This window comes from Homo sapiens, chromosome 17 (assembly GCF_000001405.40).
Source record: "Homo sapiens chromosome 17, GRCh38.p14 Primary Assembly".
Taxonomy (NCBI): Eukaryota; Metazoa; Chordata; class Mammalia; order Primates; family Hominidae; genus Homo; species Homo sapiens.
This window is the reverse complement of record NC_000017.11, coordinates 53638420-53658305: the sequence shown is the minus strand read 5'-3', so window position 1 is coordinate 53658305 and position 19886 is coordinate 53638420. Positions and strand designations below refer to the sequence as shown.

The following is a 19886-nucleotide window of genomic DNA, read 5'->3' as shown; positions in this document are numbered from 1 at the left end:
TACATGGGAAGATCACCTGAACTCAGGAGTTCAAGACCAGCCTGGGCAATATAGTAAGGTCTTGCCTCTACAAAAAATAAACAAAATTGGCTAGGCGTGGTGGCATGTGCCTGTGGTCCCAGCTAGTGTGGAGGCCAAGGTGAGAGGATCCCTTGAGCCAGAGAGGTAGAAGATGCAGTAAGCTGAGATCATGCCACTGCACTCCAGCCTGGGCAACAGAGTGAGACCCTATCTCAAAATAAATAAATAAATAAATTAAATATCACAGCTGTAAGAAGCTTTAATAAAGTTATCATCTGATATAGACAAAGACAAGATAGTTCTAGAATGTCTGAGACTTTATCTTTGGATAAGGTCCTCCAGATTGTGCTCATTCAAATATAGTTGAGTCAAGTCAATGGGTGTGTCCTAATATATATTACTTTCTACTTTCAAGAAAATGCAAAAAACATGTTTACATTTGCTAACTACTCTTATTGTAAAGGTAACATGGGCATTTGATAAATGCATTTGATAAATGCAACTAATACTATGCATAAAATTCCCCTTGTTTTTAAGCATTTGTTTGAAGCTATGTTCCATGAGTTTGAAAACCAGGGACAGAAATGTTTGGGTCAAAAGAAACTACAGCAATAGCTTCCTCATTCTCCACAATTTCATTAGGCATATTCTCTCACCTCTTACTTCTTTTGTAGATGCTTCCTTCAACTTCAGCTTACTTCTAACTCTTTGTCCCACGCATTTAGATTTCTGCCCTGGGTCCTCATTTATCTGTCTCGACTCTCTGGATAGCTGAATCTCTTCCTTTGTTAGTCACACTCTTGTCTGCAGATTCTGACTCCACTCAGCATTGCTGTCTGATTTTAGTGTACAGATCAGCTTGCATTTGTGTTTTCTTGATTACGATATGACCCACTTTTATCCTTTGGATTCTGAACCTGGATATATATGCCATGCATAAGTGGCTTCTCGGCTGGCCACAAGATTATTTTAATTCCCAGACGGCAAAATGTGGTTTGCCATGTGTGCCTTTTTTCTTTAATGAATGTAGTGCAATATTAGCAAAAGCATTGAGGCAAAACAATGGGATAATAGCCCAAACAGGGAAAACATTATTTTATTCACATCATAATTATAGTTTTATTTTCTTTTCTTCCTAAACAAATAAAGGTTTAAATTCAGTTTTTTGTTTTATCTTATTATTACTGCCGGTCAGTAAATTACATTATTTTTATTCTTCAAAAATATATGTGAATTTCATAACTTTCGATCTTCATGGCATGAACCGAAGAAAGTACCCTATTAGCTGTTTCAATCAAAGGGTGATTTAAATAGCACAGTGCACCCTTCTAGAAAATGGGGACATATTTTTGTTTTAACATTTATATCTAGAGGCTTAGTATTATATAATAAATTTATCTCACTTGCTTATAAAACCGATTTCCATATATGACATGCATTATAATAGTTTAACATAATTATCGAATGAAGCTATCAATCTCACTACAGAGGCTTTCAGAAACCAAACCACAACCAAAGGTAACTGATTTATTGGTTGCCTTTCCTTACAAATTTTAACTATACTAGAAATTTTTAATAAAATGTGTGTGCTTCACTTTTACACACTTTCCCAGAATTATATTGTATCATAGGGTTCCCCTTTTTTGCATTCTTATCCTTTTACAGGAAAAGGTTGTTGAAATGTAGAGTTCAAGGTTTCTAATCTAAACTCTTCATAGAATTACTAAATCTCACCGAATATGACATTTTTATGTGAATTTCTGTGCTAGGATTTGAGCATAAAGTCACTACATATTTTAGCTATTAGCATCTCTTTATGAGAATAAAGTAAGGGATCGATAGCTCAGCAGAGAGACACTGATTACAATTCTCAAACATTTTCTCCATCTTTGATTTCCCCAATCTCTCGCAATCTACTGTTCTAAAATGATAACATTTATCTGAAAAATAATGTGTCTCTAAATATGTATTTTATACGGAGACAACTAATAAATCCAACAAAGATATCACTGGGAAAAATAAACCCTACTTTATTTCGTGGATTTAGAGAGGGCAACCACACCAAATAATTACAATTACACCATAATACACATTGTAACAGAGGATGAACAAAGTGTCGCTAACCTACCAGAAAACTTGAATAAATATGCCAAAAGATATCAGAGATGCCACAGAGAATGTGACATTTTAACTTAAAAAAAATCTCAGCCTTTATTCTGATAAGAATTCCCAATCATTTCTAACCTAGGATTAAACAAATCTTGCAGTTTACAGTTACTGGGAAATAAACATGAGAAAGGAAATGAGAGAAAGCAGGTTGGGGCAGAGGGTCATGTCAGAGCATCCTGAAAACCTGTAAAATCTCTGCCAGTCTACTGGGCACTCTGGAGCACACACTGAATGAAAGAAAATGTGGAGATCCTGGTAGTACCACCTTACTCAGTCATTAGCTGGGGATGTCTTCATAATGGTATGCCCTCAGCTACCGACCTCACTTAGTCACTGGCCAGAGGCCACCCCAAGAAGAATGTGACTGTAGCTTGAAGCTGAAGCAAGCCTGGAAAAGCTAACAGGCTCTTCACTACTAACTGCTTTCCCCACATCTGGAAAGCAAGTCTTTACTTGAAGAAGTTCCATATCTGCCACAGTGCCTAAATTAAAGGAGTAGTTATATTTTTATAGTGCAAAATCTGCCAATCATTGAAATTAAATTTGTTAATACATAAATAACTGTCTATAATGTACTCTCAAACATTGTCTACTTGGCTATGTTTTAAATGTTTAGTCAGTGTTTTTGTTTTTGCTTGGTTGTTTGGTTTTGTTTTTAGTGATATGATTGATTTTATCTTGAATTTGAGAAGTCATTGGTTAAATCAATTTGAGCTTAAAGAAATAGATGACAAAAATGTAGATGACTAGGTTTCCACTGAACAATAAAAACATTGCATTGTGACTTTTGCTGACATGAATTAAGATATAATTACAGCTTGAGTATCCCTTATGTGAAATGCTTGGGACCAGAAGTGTTTCAAATTATTTTGGATTATTTTGGAGTTTGAAGTATTTCCATATACATAAGATATATTGGGTATAGGGCCCAAGTCTAAGCAAAAAGTTTATTTATATTTTATGGACACCTTTTACACATAGGCTGAAGGTAATTTATAAAATATTTAATAATTTTGTGCATGAAACAAAGTTCATGTACATTGAACCATCCGAAAGCAAAGGTGTCACAATCTCACGCACCCATGTGGACAACCTGTGGTTGTCTGTCATCACCGTCATTCCTGACTCTGAATTTATATGCCACTGATAAGCACCATTTTCTTACATTTATTCACACATTAGTACTACTGATTTAAAAAGATGGCATGCCACTAATACAGTGAAGAAATAACGTGTTCATGGTAACTGAGCAGCACAGTATCATCACCAGAAGACCTGTGTCAGCTGTTAGACAACAGCAACCGCAAACAATGGCAGGCTTTCAGTCTCCAACTATGATGCTGTGTTTTGATTAAAAGGTTTCTATACACTGTACAGTACACATAAATGCTTCTTTTTCTTATCACTGTTACCTGTCGGGATATGTGCAGTCCTTTTTGACATTTTCAATAATATCTTTACACCACAGAGCAGAGAATATACAACAAAACACAGTGAGTAACGCACAAGGGTGTTGGCCTGATGTGAGGCATCATGGGAAACCTGCCATCTGACCTGCACCTGTGTCATTTTAGTACCCTCTGTGGGCAGGCTAGCCTGAGGAATCTGGGCTGGGAGAGTCTTTTTCCCCTCAGGGATGCTAAATAAGCTGTGTGTTGCACACCTGAGTTTTGACTGCAACCTGTTACGGTGTTTGATGTTCCACCTGTGGCATCATGTTGGAGCTCAAAAATTTCAGATTTTGGAGCATTTTGGATAGTGGATTTTAGAACTAGGAATGCCCAACCTGTATCAGTAAACTGAACTTTTTTAAAAACTTACTGAAATCTTGTCATATCCTTTCCTTACCCTTGACTAGTTAGAGTTAGATAATATAAATAAGAGCCATATAATGCGTGTGGGACATTGGAGCTATCCCAGCAACATTAATCTCTGAGTTTTCTCCCAACGAAAGAGCCTGAGGACACATAAGTGGCCGTGTGGGAAAGAGATTTATAACACAATTGAGATAGAATTCCTTAATGTTAAATCCAGATTAAATTTGCAATCATCTCTTTGACAAAAAGTGGCAGAAGTCTTTGCAAACTGCGTCTGCACCTTCTTCCAGTATTTCCCATTGGTGGAGAACTGGCTTGGTGTCAGGCTGGATGAGTCTTAGCTATGATGTGATTGGAAAACACAGGGCTTGCAGTCATAATACTGACATTCAATTCCATCTCTGTGGCTAAAAACCTATGTGACTGTGGATAAATCAGGTAAAATGTTTGAGCCTTGATTTACTCATAGATAAAATGTGAACATTATCTCATAGAGTGATTGTGTTAGTCAAGAGAAATGATATATGTGAAAATCTCTTAGAAAGTCTTTATTCTGGCTTAAAAACATAAGAAAGACCTGGCTTTAGAAGGTTACTGGTATCTCTCCTACAGTATACTTAGTGTAGTTAAGGGAGACATAAATAAAGATTTGCCCTCTACCATGTGGAGTAGAAGTATTCTGCCCAAGCTTGCTCTCCCTCCTGTATGCCATTCCCATCTTAAATCTACATAATCTACATTCTCCATGACCAGCACAAGTCCCTGCTCCTCTGTTAAACTTCCTTGATCATGCAAGGCCTCTCCACACTTATTAATTTTATCTACATTTATATCAACTTACATTATATTAATAATGCCTTATATTATTAATTTTTATATACTTTGACTGAATGACACAAAGATAAGAACAGTAGTACTTGACATCCAATCAAGAGAGAAGGGTTTTTGTCCCAACTCATCCCTTACTATGTTTGAATCCATATTATTGGTTTTCATTATAAAATAAGGAACCTAAACTGTGTGACTTCTAATATCTCTTTCTTCTGGAGAATAAATAAGATATGCATTCTTCTGCCACTTAGTTTTTCCTCCTGCGGGGAAAAATCTTGTTTTGTGTGTTTGTATGTGAGTCTGTGTTTTCACAGAAATGCTGATGGGAACCCTTGGAATTATATTAGAAAGTAAAAATGAAATCGGCTCATGGCAAAGCATTCCTGCCTGAGTATTATGTTCTGTGAGTCCCCTTTAGAGAACCAAATCATTTCTCCATATCCTAGATGACACAGTAATTCAGCTTTTAATATTCAGTATTTTAGTAAGCTGTTTTCTCAAGATTATTAAAATTTATTGATTGTAAGATTTTAGGGCATTTTATTTTTCTGACTCTCAGAATGTGAATATAACGATTAAAATTGTGAGTAAAATAAATAGATTGCATAATACTTCTAATAGGATCCAAGTCAAACACAATCATATAGCAAGCTACCATAATTTTAAAGCTTTTGCTCTAAGTCAAAATAATTAAATTTGAGTTGCTAATTTTAACCTGTCTTAGGGCTCAAAAGGCAAATTAAATGCGCATGCACCCTGTCTCAACAATATTCTCTAGAATGTCTCACCTCTGTAATCTTTTCTGATTTCACAGGACAATCTGTAAACCTGGGGAAATTTCACTTTATGCATTCTCTGTCTAGTTCCACACATAGAATTTTTAGAGATTCTGAATGTTATACCCATTAAAGACTTAAAGTCATCTTTTAAACTTATTCATCTATTTCTACATATATAAAATGGTAGTAAGAATAACACATCAATGTGTTACAATTTATTTGCTCTAACTTTATTCTTATAACTTTAATAGTGCAGCTGTTGGGGTTATTAATATCTGACTCCAGTCGGAAAATATGAATTCTCATAAGATTCGTATACCTTAGTCCATGAAAGTCTATGTAGGTATTGTTTCTGATATGTGTGCAGGCATTAATAAGGCTTGCTTAAGTTTAAGAAACATTACTTTTATTTTATCTTTCATAATTGTTCATTATATGTACACCCATATCTTCCCATAGCTATGGTCACAAACCTAAAATCTGCCTACTATTTACTGGCGTTAGATGGACACTTAAGTTCATATTTCCTTAAATTATCGCACTCTGCTTTATCATATTGAGTGGTTGTTTACCTACTCATTGAGTATTTTTCCTTCCTTCTTTCTGTCCTTTCTTCCTTATTCTTTTACCTTTTTTCCTTAGGTTTTTCCTTCTATTTAGATAAATGTATTAATATGTTTTAGAAGCAAAGTAGTACATAGTTTGTTGGCATTCGGTCTAAACTTAAAAAACTTCACCTTGAATGCTGCCAAGTCTCTCCCATGTGCCTTGGGTCCAGGTGTGGTTGCTAAGATACATGTTATTAATCTTCCAATAAAAATATAGAGGTCACAGTATAAAAATATATATATTTATGAAGGTGTCTTGGTAATTAATATTGTTTTCAATTTGAGAGTACTCATGTGATTAGAAAATATTTTAACTTTCCTAATTGTTTTCCCTTTTTTTAAAACATGGTTAAAGTGTCTCTATTCACAGAGAAAATTGTACATTTTTATAAATTACAGGATATTATTTTTGGAATTATTGTTTTAATTCCATAACCATTTGTGTTGTATGGCATATTCCTTTCAAAAACTGATATGAGTTTTAATGAATTATATATAACAAAATCATCACAAAGAATACATTTTTAAAACACCAGAGGATAAAATATAAGAACATAGCAAAATTAGGCTAATATAAGTAATCAATTGGCTATGAACTTTCATCCCTCCTTCCTGAAACTTGAAACAGAAAGTAAACTTGTCAAATCGTACAATTCAAATTGTCTCACCAAAAAAAAAATCTTGCTTGTTTATCAAGAAATACAGACATGTTCACAGAAACGTATCTATCAATATTTTTATGAGGGAGATATTGAATGTCATAATAGACATTACATCCAGTAATTATGCTGCATGCTGCCAGTATAAGCAGTGACCACACAGAAAACACTTCACATGCACACACAGAACACTCTACCTGCCTATACAGTAAATACTTTAAATTTCGCTGAACTGATTCAACTCCTGATCTCAATGCCCACTACTGGCTCAGCACCACAGCCTGAACTCTCATCATTTCTTCTTGGTGTGTTTAAAACTGCTTAATAAGAGTCTCAAGTCATAGGCTATACTCCACCCTACTATCACAGTGAAGAGAATACACTTTTGTGGTCAATAGGCCCAGATTTGCATCCTTGTTTTGGTCTTCATTATCTCAACAAATTCTCATTTGCCCACAATGAAATCCCAACTGCCAATCCTAACATGTGGCATTCTGCATGACTTAGCCCTGCTTACTGTTCAGAGTACACGATTTCCACGTTATCTTCACATCAATCATACAACCTTTGTCATTCGTAACCCCATTTGGTAGACTCAGCCTTAAATATCTGCTGGTGTTATTCGTTTCTTCTACTCTTTGACTCTGTAACTGGACAAAAACCCATTTTTTTTTTTAATCACAAGTATCATTATCAGGATATAGCTTTCTCTAAACTGTCAAAATTAGGAGAATTGTCCACTTCTCAATCTCTTCCTAATTTATGCATTTCTATAATCATATTTTTATACTTTTTTAGACTTGTTTATATCATGATCTCTAAACAGTTACATGCTCTTATGATACAATTTTTAATTTTTTCTAATATATGAATATTTTTATTTCTGAAATATATCACTGTATAAATATGTATGCACTATATAAAATATGCCTAAAATAGATTTTTTAAAGGATAAGATGAAATACAAATGGAAATGAAAAAAATTTTATCCCACATCTCAATGTCAAGCCCTATTTTGGAGAGTTTAAACTCCCTGTAAACCCTGTAAGCTCTGGGAAAACAGAAGCTTTGTTTTTAACAACAGTACTAAGCATACTGCCCAGTTTTATTGTAAGTATTAAACAAATATTGTTCATGGGGTGAGTGAATAAATGAAGGTTCTTTATGTACGTTTACAATGACATAAGATAAAGTGGGAATAAATAAGATAGACCCCAGTTTATAACTTTATGGATCTCTAAATTGTTAAAACATTGGAGCTCAGAATATATCAGTAGGTGTGTAATTAATAATAAAAAAATAATAATGGGTGATACTTATTAGGCAACTCTTGTAGACCAAAGAATGGATAGACAGAATGTCTTTTAATTCATCTTTGAGTAACAACTATTTTTCCGTAGTGAATTTTTTGATAGAAACTTTAAAGGAAGGAAATTTAAGTTTGAAAAGTAAGGTTGAGATTTGTCTTTTCATTCCGGAATGCAGATATTCTAATTTATTTATTAAAGGGTGATTTAAATATTCTGTGTACAGACATGTAGGTAATGGCAATAATACTACTAATAAAATACCATCACAAAAATTTTATTGAGTACTTCCTATATGCTATCAATGTTCTGAGTCATTTTACATATATATTAATTACCTTAATCCTCACAAAAATCTGTGGTTAATTAATATTACCTCCTTTTTACAGACAAGAACACCAAGGCACACAGAGTTTTAATAGATTGTCCCAAATCACAGAGCTAGCAAGGAATGTAGCTAGAACTGAAATGCATGTACTGTGGCTATAGAGCTTGTATGTTTAATGATTATTTCATACTACCTTGCATATATCTTATTCAAATATTTCTAGAATTGATTACTGGTAGGAAAAAGAAAAATAAGATCACCAGATGTCAATTGCAGCTGTGGTCTACTGTAGAAATTGGAATTTTAAGTGACGGAGTATATAAGCTGAGTTTCATAATGCTACTCTGGAGTCTTTTATAATGGAGCCATACAATGAGTCTTTTGTATTTTAGAGACTTAGATGAGTCCATAAAGAATGTAAAACATGTATGAATGTTCAAAGTGCCTTCTTTTTCTTTATCTACATTTGATAGAATAGTTGAAATTGCTGCTTAAATATCTGCATAATGACTTAGTCAAGTGAAAGAACCCTTTGATATGGTGATTATTATTATGACACCATAGAACTTCATTAATTAGGTTTTTTTGCTCTTTTATTAGCAGTCAAAGTTCTCTATTACTGTGAATGGTCACACACTATGACATTATTACATTATAACTGAAAAATAATTATCTTTATTGGGCAATATCAAATATATAAAGTTTAAGGTTATGGTATGTAAACGTTGTTATTGGAACTTAAAATGTCCCCTTTTTATTTCACTAGGTGCATATACCACTTTAACTGAGCTTTGCACTTTAGCTACAATTTAAATTAGTAAATAATTTGTTGCTAAGAGTGAGAGAAACATAAATTATTATAAAGACCATACATTTCTATCCCAGTTGAAATATATGTAGGTTTTTTTCTATTAAATTGTTATGAGCTGGGTAGGCAAAACAAAATGGTGTAATAGAACGCTTCACCAATTGTTGCCCCTGCTAGGACACCCATTTAATAACGATCTACACAGAAAAAAACACCTTCATAAGAACCAAAAATCAGATAAGCACTCATAGTACCTGGTTTTAACATTGTATCTCTAAAAGAGGCACTGAAGAGGTAGAAAAAAACAGTATTGAATCACTGATGCCACCCCTCTACCAACCCCCTGCAGTGGTAGTGTAGTACAGAGAGTGTCTCTGGGCACTGGGGGAGAGAGAAAACAGCAATTGTGAGGGTTTGAACTCAGTGCTGTCCTGCTAGAGCAGAAAGGAAAAATGGACCAAACTCAGTTGATGCCCAACCATGGAGGGAGCATTTAAACCAGCCCTAGACAGAGGAAAATCACTAATCCCAGTAGTCTAAACTTGAGATCCCACAAACCTCACCACCAAGGGCTACAGTGCTCTCTGTCTCCAAGTAAACATGAAAGGCAATGCAAGCCATAAGGACTGCAACTCTTAGGTCTGCCCTAGTGCTGACCTAGGCCCAGAGACAGTGGACTGGGGGGTGGTGGAGTGTGGGGTAACATACTAAGACACAAGCTAGGGTAGTCAATGGAGTGCTGGCATCACATCACCTCTCCCCTAACCCCAAGCTGCACAACTCATGGCTCCAAAAGACACCCCTTTCTTCTGTTTAAGGAGAGGGAACAGTGGGGAAGACTTTGTCTTGCATTTTGGATACCAGCTCAACTACAGCAAGATAGAGCACTTGTCAGAGTTTTGAGGCCCCATTCCAGGCCCTAGCTCCCAGACAATATTTCTAGACATACCTAGGGCCATAAGAGAACCCTCTGCCTTTAAGGAAAGGACTCAGTTCTGCCAGCATTCATAAACAGCTAACTGAAGAACCCTTGGGCCCTGAATAACCAGCAGCGATACCCAGGTGCTACATTAAGGGCCTTGGGTGAGCCTCTGAAACATGTTGGCTTCAAGGAAGACTCAGCACATTAGTAGCTGTGGTGTCTATGGGACAAAACTCCTGCTTCTTGGGAAAATCAGAGGGAAAAATAAAGGGGACTTTGTCTCACACCTTAGGTACCAGCACAGCCACAGAGTGTAGAGCACCAAGTGGGCTCTTGGAGTCCATGATTCTAGGACTTGACTCTTGGATACCATTTCTGGACCTGCTCTGGGCCAGAGGGCAGCCTATTGCCCTGAAGGGTGAGTTTTAGGTCACGCAGCATTCATTACAATCTGACTTAGAAGCCCTTGGGCCTTAAGGAAACATCGATGGTAGTGTGACAGTACACCTCATAGCCAGTGGAGGTAGCAGGAGTGATGCATATGGGATGAAGCTTATCTGCCTTTGGAAAGGGGACTGAAGAGTGGGGAGGACTACATCTTGTGGTTTGACAGCCAGCTAAATAAGACGCTAGGTAGACTTCTAAGGTTTTTGACTGTAGTCCCTGACTCTCAAATGGTACTTCTGGACCCATCTGAAGCCTGGGAGACCTTGCCACCCTGAAGGGAAAGACACAGATCTGACTGGCTTTACCATCAGGTGATTATAGAGTCTCAAGGCTTAGGGTGAACATAAGCAGTAGCCAGGGAGTGGTTGTAGGAGGCCTTGGGAGAGACCCAGTACTGTGCTGGCTTCAGATCTGACCCAGCAAAGTCATAGTGATGGTGTCCACAGGGGTGCTTGTGTCACTCCACTCCACTATTTGTGTATTTTCAAATAGCTGATCTTCTCTTTCCAAGACTATAAAGGTGGTACTTCTACAAGTTTGCAAGAACCGCGGTGTTACTGGGCTTGGGGTGCCCCCTAATGCAGAAACAGCTTAGATCATCCAAATTCTTTCAAATATCTGGAAGGCCTTCCCAAAAAGGATGGCTACAAGTAAGTGCAGATAGCAAAGACTACAAATAAATACATAACTCTTCAATGCCCAGACACTGAAGAACATTTACTAGCATCAACACCATCCAGGAAAACATAACTTAATCCAATGAACTAAATAAGACACCAGGGACCAATCCTGGAGAAACAGAGTTATGTGACCTTTCAGAGAGAGAATTCAAAATAGCTGTGTTGAAGAAAAGCAAAGAAATTCATGAGAACAACAACAACAAAAAAAAAGGAATTCAGAATTCTATCAGATAATTTTAACAAAGAGATTGAAATAAATGAAAAGAATCAGGCATAAATTCTAGAGCTGAAAAATACAACAGGCATACTGAAGAATGCATCAGAATTAGGCATCCTGAAGAATGCATCCTTTACTAGCATGGAACAAACAAAAGAAAGAATTAGTGCACTTGAAGACCAGCTATTTGAAAATACACAGTCAGAGGAGACAAAAGAAAAAAGAATAAAAAAATAAAGTACTCCTTCAGGATCTAGATAATAGCCTCAAAAGGGCAAATTTAAGAGTATTGACCTCATTAAAAAGGTAGAGAATGAGATGGTGGTAGAGAGTTTATGGAATGGAATAATAATAGAGAACTTATAGAACCTAGAGAAAGATATTAATATCCAAACACAAGAAGGTTATAGGACACCAACCAGATTTAACCCAAAGAAGGCTACCTCGAGGTATTAAATAATCAAGCTCCCAAAGGACAAGGATAAAGAAAGAATCCTAAAAGCAGCAAGAGAAAAGAAACAAATAACATACAATGGAGCTCCAGTACATCTGGCAGCAGACTTTTCAGTGGAAACCTTATAGGCCAGGAGTGTGTGGCACGGCATATTTAAAGTGCTGACGGAAAACATCTTTTACTCTAGAATACTTTATCTGGCTAAAATATACATCAAACATGAAGGACAAATAAAGATTTTTCCAGACAAACAAAAGCTGAGGGACTTCGTCAACACCAGACGTGTCCTACAGGAAATACTAAAGGGGGTACTTTAATCAGAGAGAAAAGGATGTTAATGAGCAATGAGAAGTCATCTGGAAGCACAAAACTCACTAGTAATAGTTAAGTGCACAGAAAAACATAGACTATGATAACACTGTTAACTGTGGTATGTAAACTATTCTTATCCTGAGTAGAAAGAATAAACAATGAACAAATAAAAAATAATAATGACAACAAATTTTCAAGAAATGGTCAGTACAATAATATATAAATAGAAACAATAAAAAGTTAAAAAGTGGGCAGATGAAGTTTAAGCATAGAATTTGTATTGATTTTCTTTTTGCTTGTTTGTTTATGTAAATAGTAAGTTGTTATCAGGCTAAAATAATGAATTATAATATAGTATTTGCAAGCCTCAAGGTAACCTCAAACCACAACACATACAATGGATACACAAAAAATAAAAAGCAAGCAACAAAATCATATTATCAGATTAAATCACCTTCACCAAAGGAAGACAAGAAGAAAGAAGAAAGACCATAGAACAATCAGAAAACAAATATCAAAATGGCAAGAGTAAATCTTTACTTATCAATAATAATACTGAATATAAATAGACTGAACTCTTCAATAAAAAGACATAGAGTGGCTGAATGGATGAAGAAACAAGACCCCATGGATCTGTTGCCCACAAAAAAATGCACTTCACCTATAAAGACACACATAGATGGAAAATAAAGGGATGGAAAAAGATATTCCATGCCAATGGAAAGGAAAAAGCAAGAGTAGCTATACTTATATCAGACTAAATAAATTTCAAAGCAAAAACTATAAGAGACTGAGCAGAGCACCATAAAATGATACAGGGATCAATTCAGCAAGAGAATATAACAATTTTAAAAATATATGCACCCAACACTGGAGAACCCAGATGTATAAAGCAAATATTATTAGAGCTAAAGGTAGAGGTCGGCCCCAACACCATGATAGCTGAAGACTTCAACATTCCATTTTCAGCATTGGACAGATCTTCCAGGCAGAAAATCAACAAAGAAACATTGGGCTTAATCTGCACAATGGACCAAATGTATCTAATATATATTTACATAACATTTCATTCAATGGCTAAATAATACACATTCTTTTCCTCAGCACATGGATCACTCTCAAGAATAGACCATATATATGTTAGGTCAAGAAACAAGTCTTAAAACATTTAAAAAAATTGACATAATATCAAGCATCTTCTCTGACCACAATGGAATATAACTAGAATTTAGTAACAAGAGGAATTTTAGAAACTATCCAAATACATGGAAATTAAACCATATGCTCCTGAATGACTGGTGCGTCAAAACAGAAATTAAAAAGGAAATTGAAAAATTTCTCGAAACAAATGATAATAGAAACACAGCATGTCAAATCATATGGAATACAGTGAAAGCAGTACTCACAGGGAAATTTATAATTATAAATGCCTGCATCAAAAAAGAGGAAAAACTCCAAATAAGCAACCTAATAATGGACCTTAGAGAAAAACAAGAGCAAACCAAACTTAAAATGAGAAACAAAAAGTAATGAAAATCAGAGCAAAAATAAATTAAATCAAAATGAAAAAATAAAAAAGATCAATAAAACAGTTATTTTTTTGAAAATTTAAACAAAATTGACAAACTTTTAGCCAGACTAAGACACAAATGAAGATCCAAATAAATTAGATGAGAAATAAAAAACAAGACACTACAACTGATACTGTAAAAGTTCAAAGGATCATTAGTGGATACTATGAATAACTATAGGCCAACAAATTGGAAATTCTAGAAAAAATGGACAAATTTCTTGACACATACAACTCAACAAAATTGAACCAAGAAGAAATCTAAAACCTGAAGAGACCAATAACAAGTAGCAAGGTTGAAGCCATAATAAAAAGCCTCTCACTAAAGAAAAGCCCAGAACCCAATGGCTTCTCTGCTGAATTCTACCAAACCTTTAAATAAGACATATTACCAAGGCTCCTAAAAATATTTTGAAAAATAGAGGAGTAGGGAATACTTCTAAACTAATTCTACAAAGCCAGTATTACTCTGATACCAACACTAGACAAAGACACATCAAAAGAAGAATACTACAGGCCAATATCTCTGATGAATACTGACACAAAAAATTATCAGCGAAAGACTAGCAAACTGAATTCAAGAATAAATTAGAAAAATCATTCATCATGACCAAGTGGGATTCAGCCCTAGGATACAAGGATGATCTGACATTTGCAAATCAATCAGTGTAAGACGTCATATCAACAGAGTGAAGGACAAACACAATATGATCATTTCAGTCGATGCTGAAAAAGCATTTGATAAACCTCAGCATCCCTTCATTATAAAAACTCTCAAAAAACTGGGTATAGAAGGAACGTACCTCAACACAACAAAAGCCATTTACGAGAGACCCAAATCTACTATCATGCTGAATGGGGAAAAACTAAAAGCCTTTTATCTAAGATTTGGAATATGACAAGGATTCTCACTTTCACCACTGTTATTCAACATAGCACTAGAAGTCCTACTAGAGCAATCAGACAAGAGAAAGAAATAAAGGAAATTCAAATGGGAATGAAAGAAGTCAAATTATCCTTGTTTGCAGATGATATAATCTGATATTTAGAAAAACCTAGACTCCACAAGAAAACTATTAGAACTGATAAACAAATTCAGTAAAGTTGCAGAATACAAAATCAACTTACAAAAATCAGTAGCATTTCTATATGCCAACAGTGATCAATCTGAAAAAGAAAAAGAAAGTAATTCTGTTTACAATAGCCACAAATAAAATTAAATACCTAGGAATTAACCTAACCAAAGAAGTGAAAGATCTCTACCATGAAAACTATAAAACACTAATGAAAAAAATTGAAGACGACATTAAGAAATAAAATAAATATTTTATGTTCAAAGATTGGAAGAATCAACATTGTTAATATGTCTCTACTGGGCTGGGTGCGGTGGCTCATGCCTGTAATCTCAGTACTTTGGGAGGCCGAGGCAGGTGGATCACCTGAGGTCAGCAGTTCAAGACCAGCCTGGCCAACATGAGAAAACCCCATCTCTACAAAAATACAAAAATTAGCCAAGCATGATGTCAGGTGCCTGTAACCCCAGCTACTCAGGAGGCTGAGGTGGGAGAATCACTTGAACACGGGAGGCAGAAGTTGTAGTGAGTCAAGATCGTGCCATTGCACTCCAACCTGGGTGACAGAGTGAGACTCCATCTCAAAAAAAAAAAAAAATGTCCATACTACCCAAAGCAATCGATATATTTAATGTAATTCCTATCAAAATACCAATAACAGTCTTTACAGAAATAGAAAAAAAATTCTAATATTTATACAAAACCACAAAAGGCTAGAATAGCTGAACCTATCCTAGGCAAAAAGAACAAAACTGGAAGAATCATAAAACCTGACTTTAAATTATACTACAGCGATATAGTAACAAAAACAGCATGGCACTGGCCTAAAAACAGACACAAAGACCAATGAAACAAAATAGAGAACCCAGATCTACACACCTACGGTGAACTCATTTTTTAAAAAGGTGCCAAGAACATACACTAGGGAAAAGATAGTCTCTCTAATAAACGGTGCTGGGGAAACTGGATATTCATATGCAAAAGAATAAAACTAGACCCCCATCTCTGACCATACACAAAAATCAACTCAAAATGCATTAAAGACTTAGTTACCTAAGACCTCAAACTATGAAACTCCTACAATAAAACATTGATGAAAATCTCCAGGACATTGATCTGGGAAAGAATTTTTTGAGCAATACCTCACAAGCACAGCAACCAAACCAAAAGTGGACAAATGGGATCACATCAAGTTAAAAGGCTTCTATGCAGCAAAGGAAACAATCAACAAAGTGAAGAGACAACCCACAGAATGGAGAAAAGTATTCCCAAACTGCCTGTCTGGAAAAAGATTAATAACCATAATATATAAGGAGCTCAGACAACCCTATAGGAAACAAATCTAACAAACCAATTTAAAAATGGACAAATGATCTGAATAGACATTTCTCAAAAGAGGACATACAAGTGGCAAATAGACATTTCTCAAAAGAAGACATACAAGTTAAAAGGTGCTCAACATCATTGCTCGCCAGAGTAATGCAAGTCAAAACTAAAATAAGATGTCATCTCACCACAGTCAAAATGGCTTATATCCAAAAGACAGGTAATAACAATAATGGCAAGGATGTGGAGAAAAGGGAACCCTTGTACAATGTTGGTAGGAATGTAAATTAGTACAACCACTGTGGATAACGGTTTGAAGGTTCCTTAAGAAACTAAAAACTGGGCCAGGCGCAGTGGCTCACAACTGTAATCCCAGCACTTTGGGAAGCAGAGGCAGGCAGATCACCTGAGGTCAGGAGTTTAAGACCAGCCTGGCCAACATGGTGAAACCCCTTCTCCACGAAAGTACAAAAATTAGCCGAGCATGATGGCAGGTGCCTGTAATCCCAGCTACTCAGGAGGCTGAGGCAGAAGAATCACTTGAATCTGGGAGGCAGAGGTTGCAGTGAGCTGAGATCATGCCATTGCACTCCAGCCTGGGCAAGAGAGTAAGACTCCATCCCAGAAAAAAAAAAAAAAGAAAGAAAGAAAGAAAGAAAAGAAAAAGAAACTAAAAACTGAATTACCATGTGATCCGACAATCCCACTGCTAGGTATACAACAAAAAGAAAGGAAATCAATAGATCAAAGAAATAACATCACTCCTATGTTTATTGCAGCACTGTTTACAACAGCTAAGATGTGGAAATAAACTAAGTATCCATAAACAGATGAAAGGATAAGGAAAATGTGGTACATACACAAAATGGATTGCTATTTAGCCATAAAAAAAATGAGATCCAGTTATTTGCAGTACCATGGACAGAACTGGAGGTTATTACGTTAAATGAAATAAACCAGGCACAGAAAGGCAAATATCACATGTTCTCACTTATGTCACAATGTGAGATCTGAAAATCAAAACAATTGAACTCATGTACACAGAAAGTAGGATGGTTACCAGAGGCTGGGAAAGGTATTTAGGGACTGGTGAGGAGGTGAGAATTGTTAATGGGTACAAAAAAAAATAGTTAGAAAGGATGAATAAGACCTACTATTTGATAGCAAAACAGGGTGACTAATAGTCAATAATAATTGTACATTTTGAAATAACTCAAAGGATAAATGCTGGAGGGAATAGGTACACCATTTTCTTATTTTACATTGCGTGCCTGTATTAAAACATCTCATGTACTCTATCAATATGTACATCTACTATGTACCCACAAAAATTAAAAATAATTAATAAATTGTTTCAAAATTTTTATGTCCCTAAAAATGTCATTAGCTTTACCTATGAGAAATTAACTTGTCTACTTGTGAATCATTACAATTTGCAAGCCTGGAAGTTAAAAATCATGTTAACCTATGGATCCACTGGCCTTTTTAGGGTAGAATGTTTCTCATCCAGGTAAAAAAAAAAAATAAGTCAGGCAACTCAATTTTAATAACTGATGTGCTGAACTACGTGAGAGTAGGTACAAATAAGCAGATGAGGATCAAATAGAGTATAAGCTACCCTTTCATAAATAGCAGAATAAAGTTCTTCTGGTATGCTATTTTGAAATATGCACTTCAGGACTGCTTGGGTTAAGGAAGCGATCCAAGAATTTGCAACCCTTTTCAAACTGTAATGGAAACTAAAACAAAGCTCCAGATCTGCACTGCTCAGTAGATACCCACTACTAACATGTAACTCCTGGGCCTGTGAAATGTGGTTAGTCTGAATTGAGATATGCTCTAAGTATAAAATGAACATCAGTTTTTAAAAATTTAATACAAAAAAGAAAAACTCTTTTGACCATTTTTATATTGATTACATGCTGAAATGATAATGTTTGAAAATACCATGCTGAACAAAATATATTATTAATTTAACTTTACCTGCTTTTTTTACTTTTTTAACGTGGCTACTAGAATTTTTAAAATTACATATGCAGCTCATATTATGTTTTTGTTGGAAAGCTCTGCTCTAGACCTTGGAGGAGGCCTCTGGATCTGTAGGCCAAAGTCTGGGCACTTTCATTAGCCCATTGCCTAAGAGCCATAGCCTGTTTTTCAGCTTGATAATCCAAGAGAAAGTTAGAGATGGTATCATGTGAAGAAGTGAAACAGATAATGCGCTTCTCTGAAGAAGGAACATTTAACATAGCAAGGAGAAGGACAGAAACTACATTTCAGGCCTCCCTTGCATCTTGGCAAAAAAGCCTCCATGTCTATTTACCACATGAAAGGGAAGAAAATGCTTGAAATCCTACCTCTCCTTAAGCCAGGAAACAAAACACAGGAGAGGTCAAAAGAAAACAAGACATTTCGTAAAGCCACATTTTCTAATTTTTCAATGTCATTCCTCCAGAGGAGTGGAGCAAAAATCCCCATTCCATACTAAAAATGTGATACAGATGCAAGTAAGTGCATCTTCTTTCTACCCTCCACTGTTTTTTTCATTTTTGTTTCTTAACCCATCAAATTTGCTGATCAACAGCTAAGCCAAGATCAACCAGGAATTGGCTAACTTCACCAAGGACGGAGGTAATACTGGACTCAAGGAATCTTATTCCTGCCTTCATTCAAGTGTTCCCCCAACAGCATACGTAGCTGTTTGGTTTATCTTCCTGGGACCAGTGGTGACGCAGCTAAAGTCACTAATATGCATTACAATAGACCACTTCATTTCAAATAATATGAAATCTCTCCTAATATTAATTTCGCAAAGTAAAAATTCACAATAAAATCCCATTATTTTTATAAATTTGAATCTGTAAAAATAAAGTTTAAAATTCTGATGATCCCAGGGATATAAATGGCCCACAGATATATGAAAAAAAGTTCAATAAGTTTAATCATCAGAGAAATAAAAAACCACAATAAAATATCACCTCACATCTGTTAGAATGGCTATTATCAAAAAGACAAAAAATAACGAGTGTTGAAGAGGATATGGAGAAAATGGAACCCTTGCACACTGTTGGTGGGAGGGTAAATTAGTACAACCATTGTGAAAAACAGTGTGGAGATTCCTCAGAATATTAAAAATTGAACTACTATATGATAAAGAAATCCCACTATTGGGTATATATCCAAAAGAACTGAAATCACCATGTCAAAGAGATATCTGTACACTCGTGTTCATTGCAGCATCATTCACAATAGCTAAGATATGGAATCGATCTAAGTATCCATCAATGATGAATGGATAAAGCAAATGTGTTATGTATACACAATGGAATACTATTCAGCCCTAAAACAGAAGGAAATTCTGTCATTTGTAACAACATGGATGAACCAGGAGAACATTATGTTAAGTGAAGTAAGCCAGGCACAGAAAGACAAATAATGCGTGATCTAAAAAGTTGAGCACAGAGAAGTAGAGAGTTAAATGGTGGTTGCTTATGACTGAGCGGTGAGAGTAAGGCATTGAGGATATGTTGGTCAAAGGACACAAAATTTCAGTTTAAT

General features: G+C 35.5%; 1 annotated feature.

Annotated features, from left to right (window-relative positions):
- Window positions 771-971: a silencer, noted in NCBI's record as "peak2897 fragment used in MPRA reporter construct". NCBI's record gives its function as "represses an SCP1 promoter by STARR-seq MPRAs in K562 erythroleukemia cells {active_cell/tissue: K562}" and the evidence as "EXISTENCE:reporter gene assay evidence [ECO:0000049][PMID:32103011]".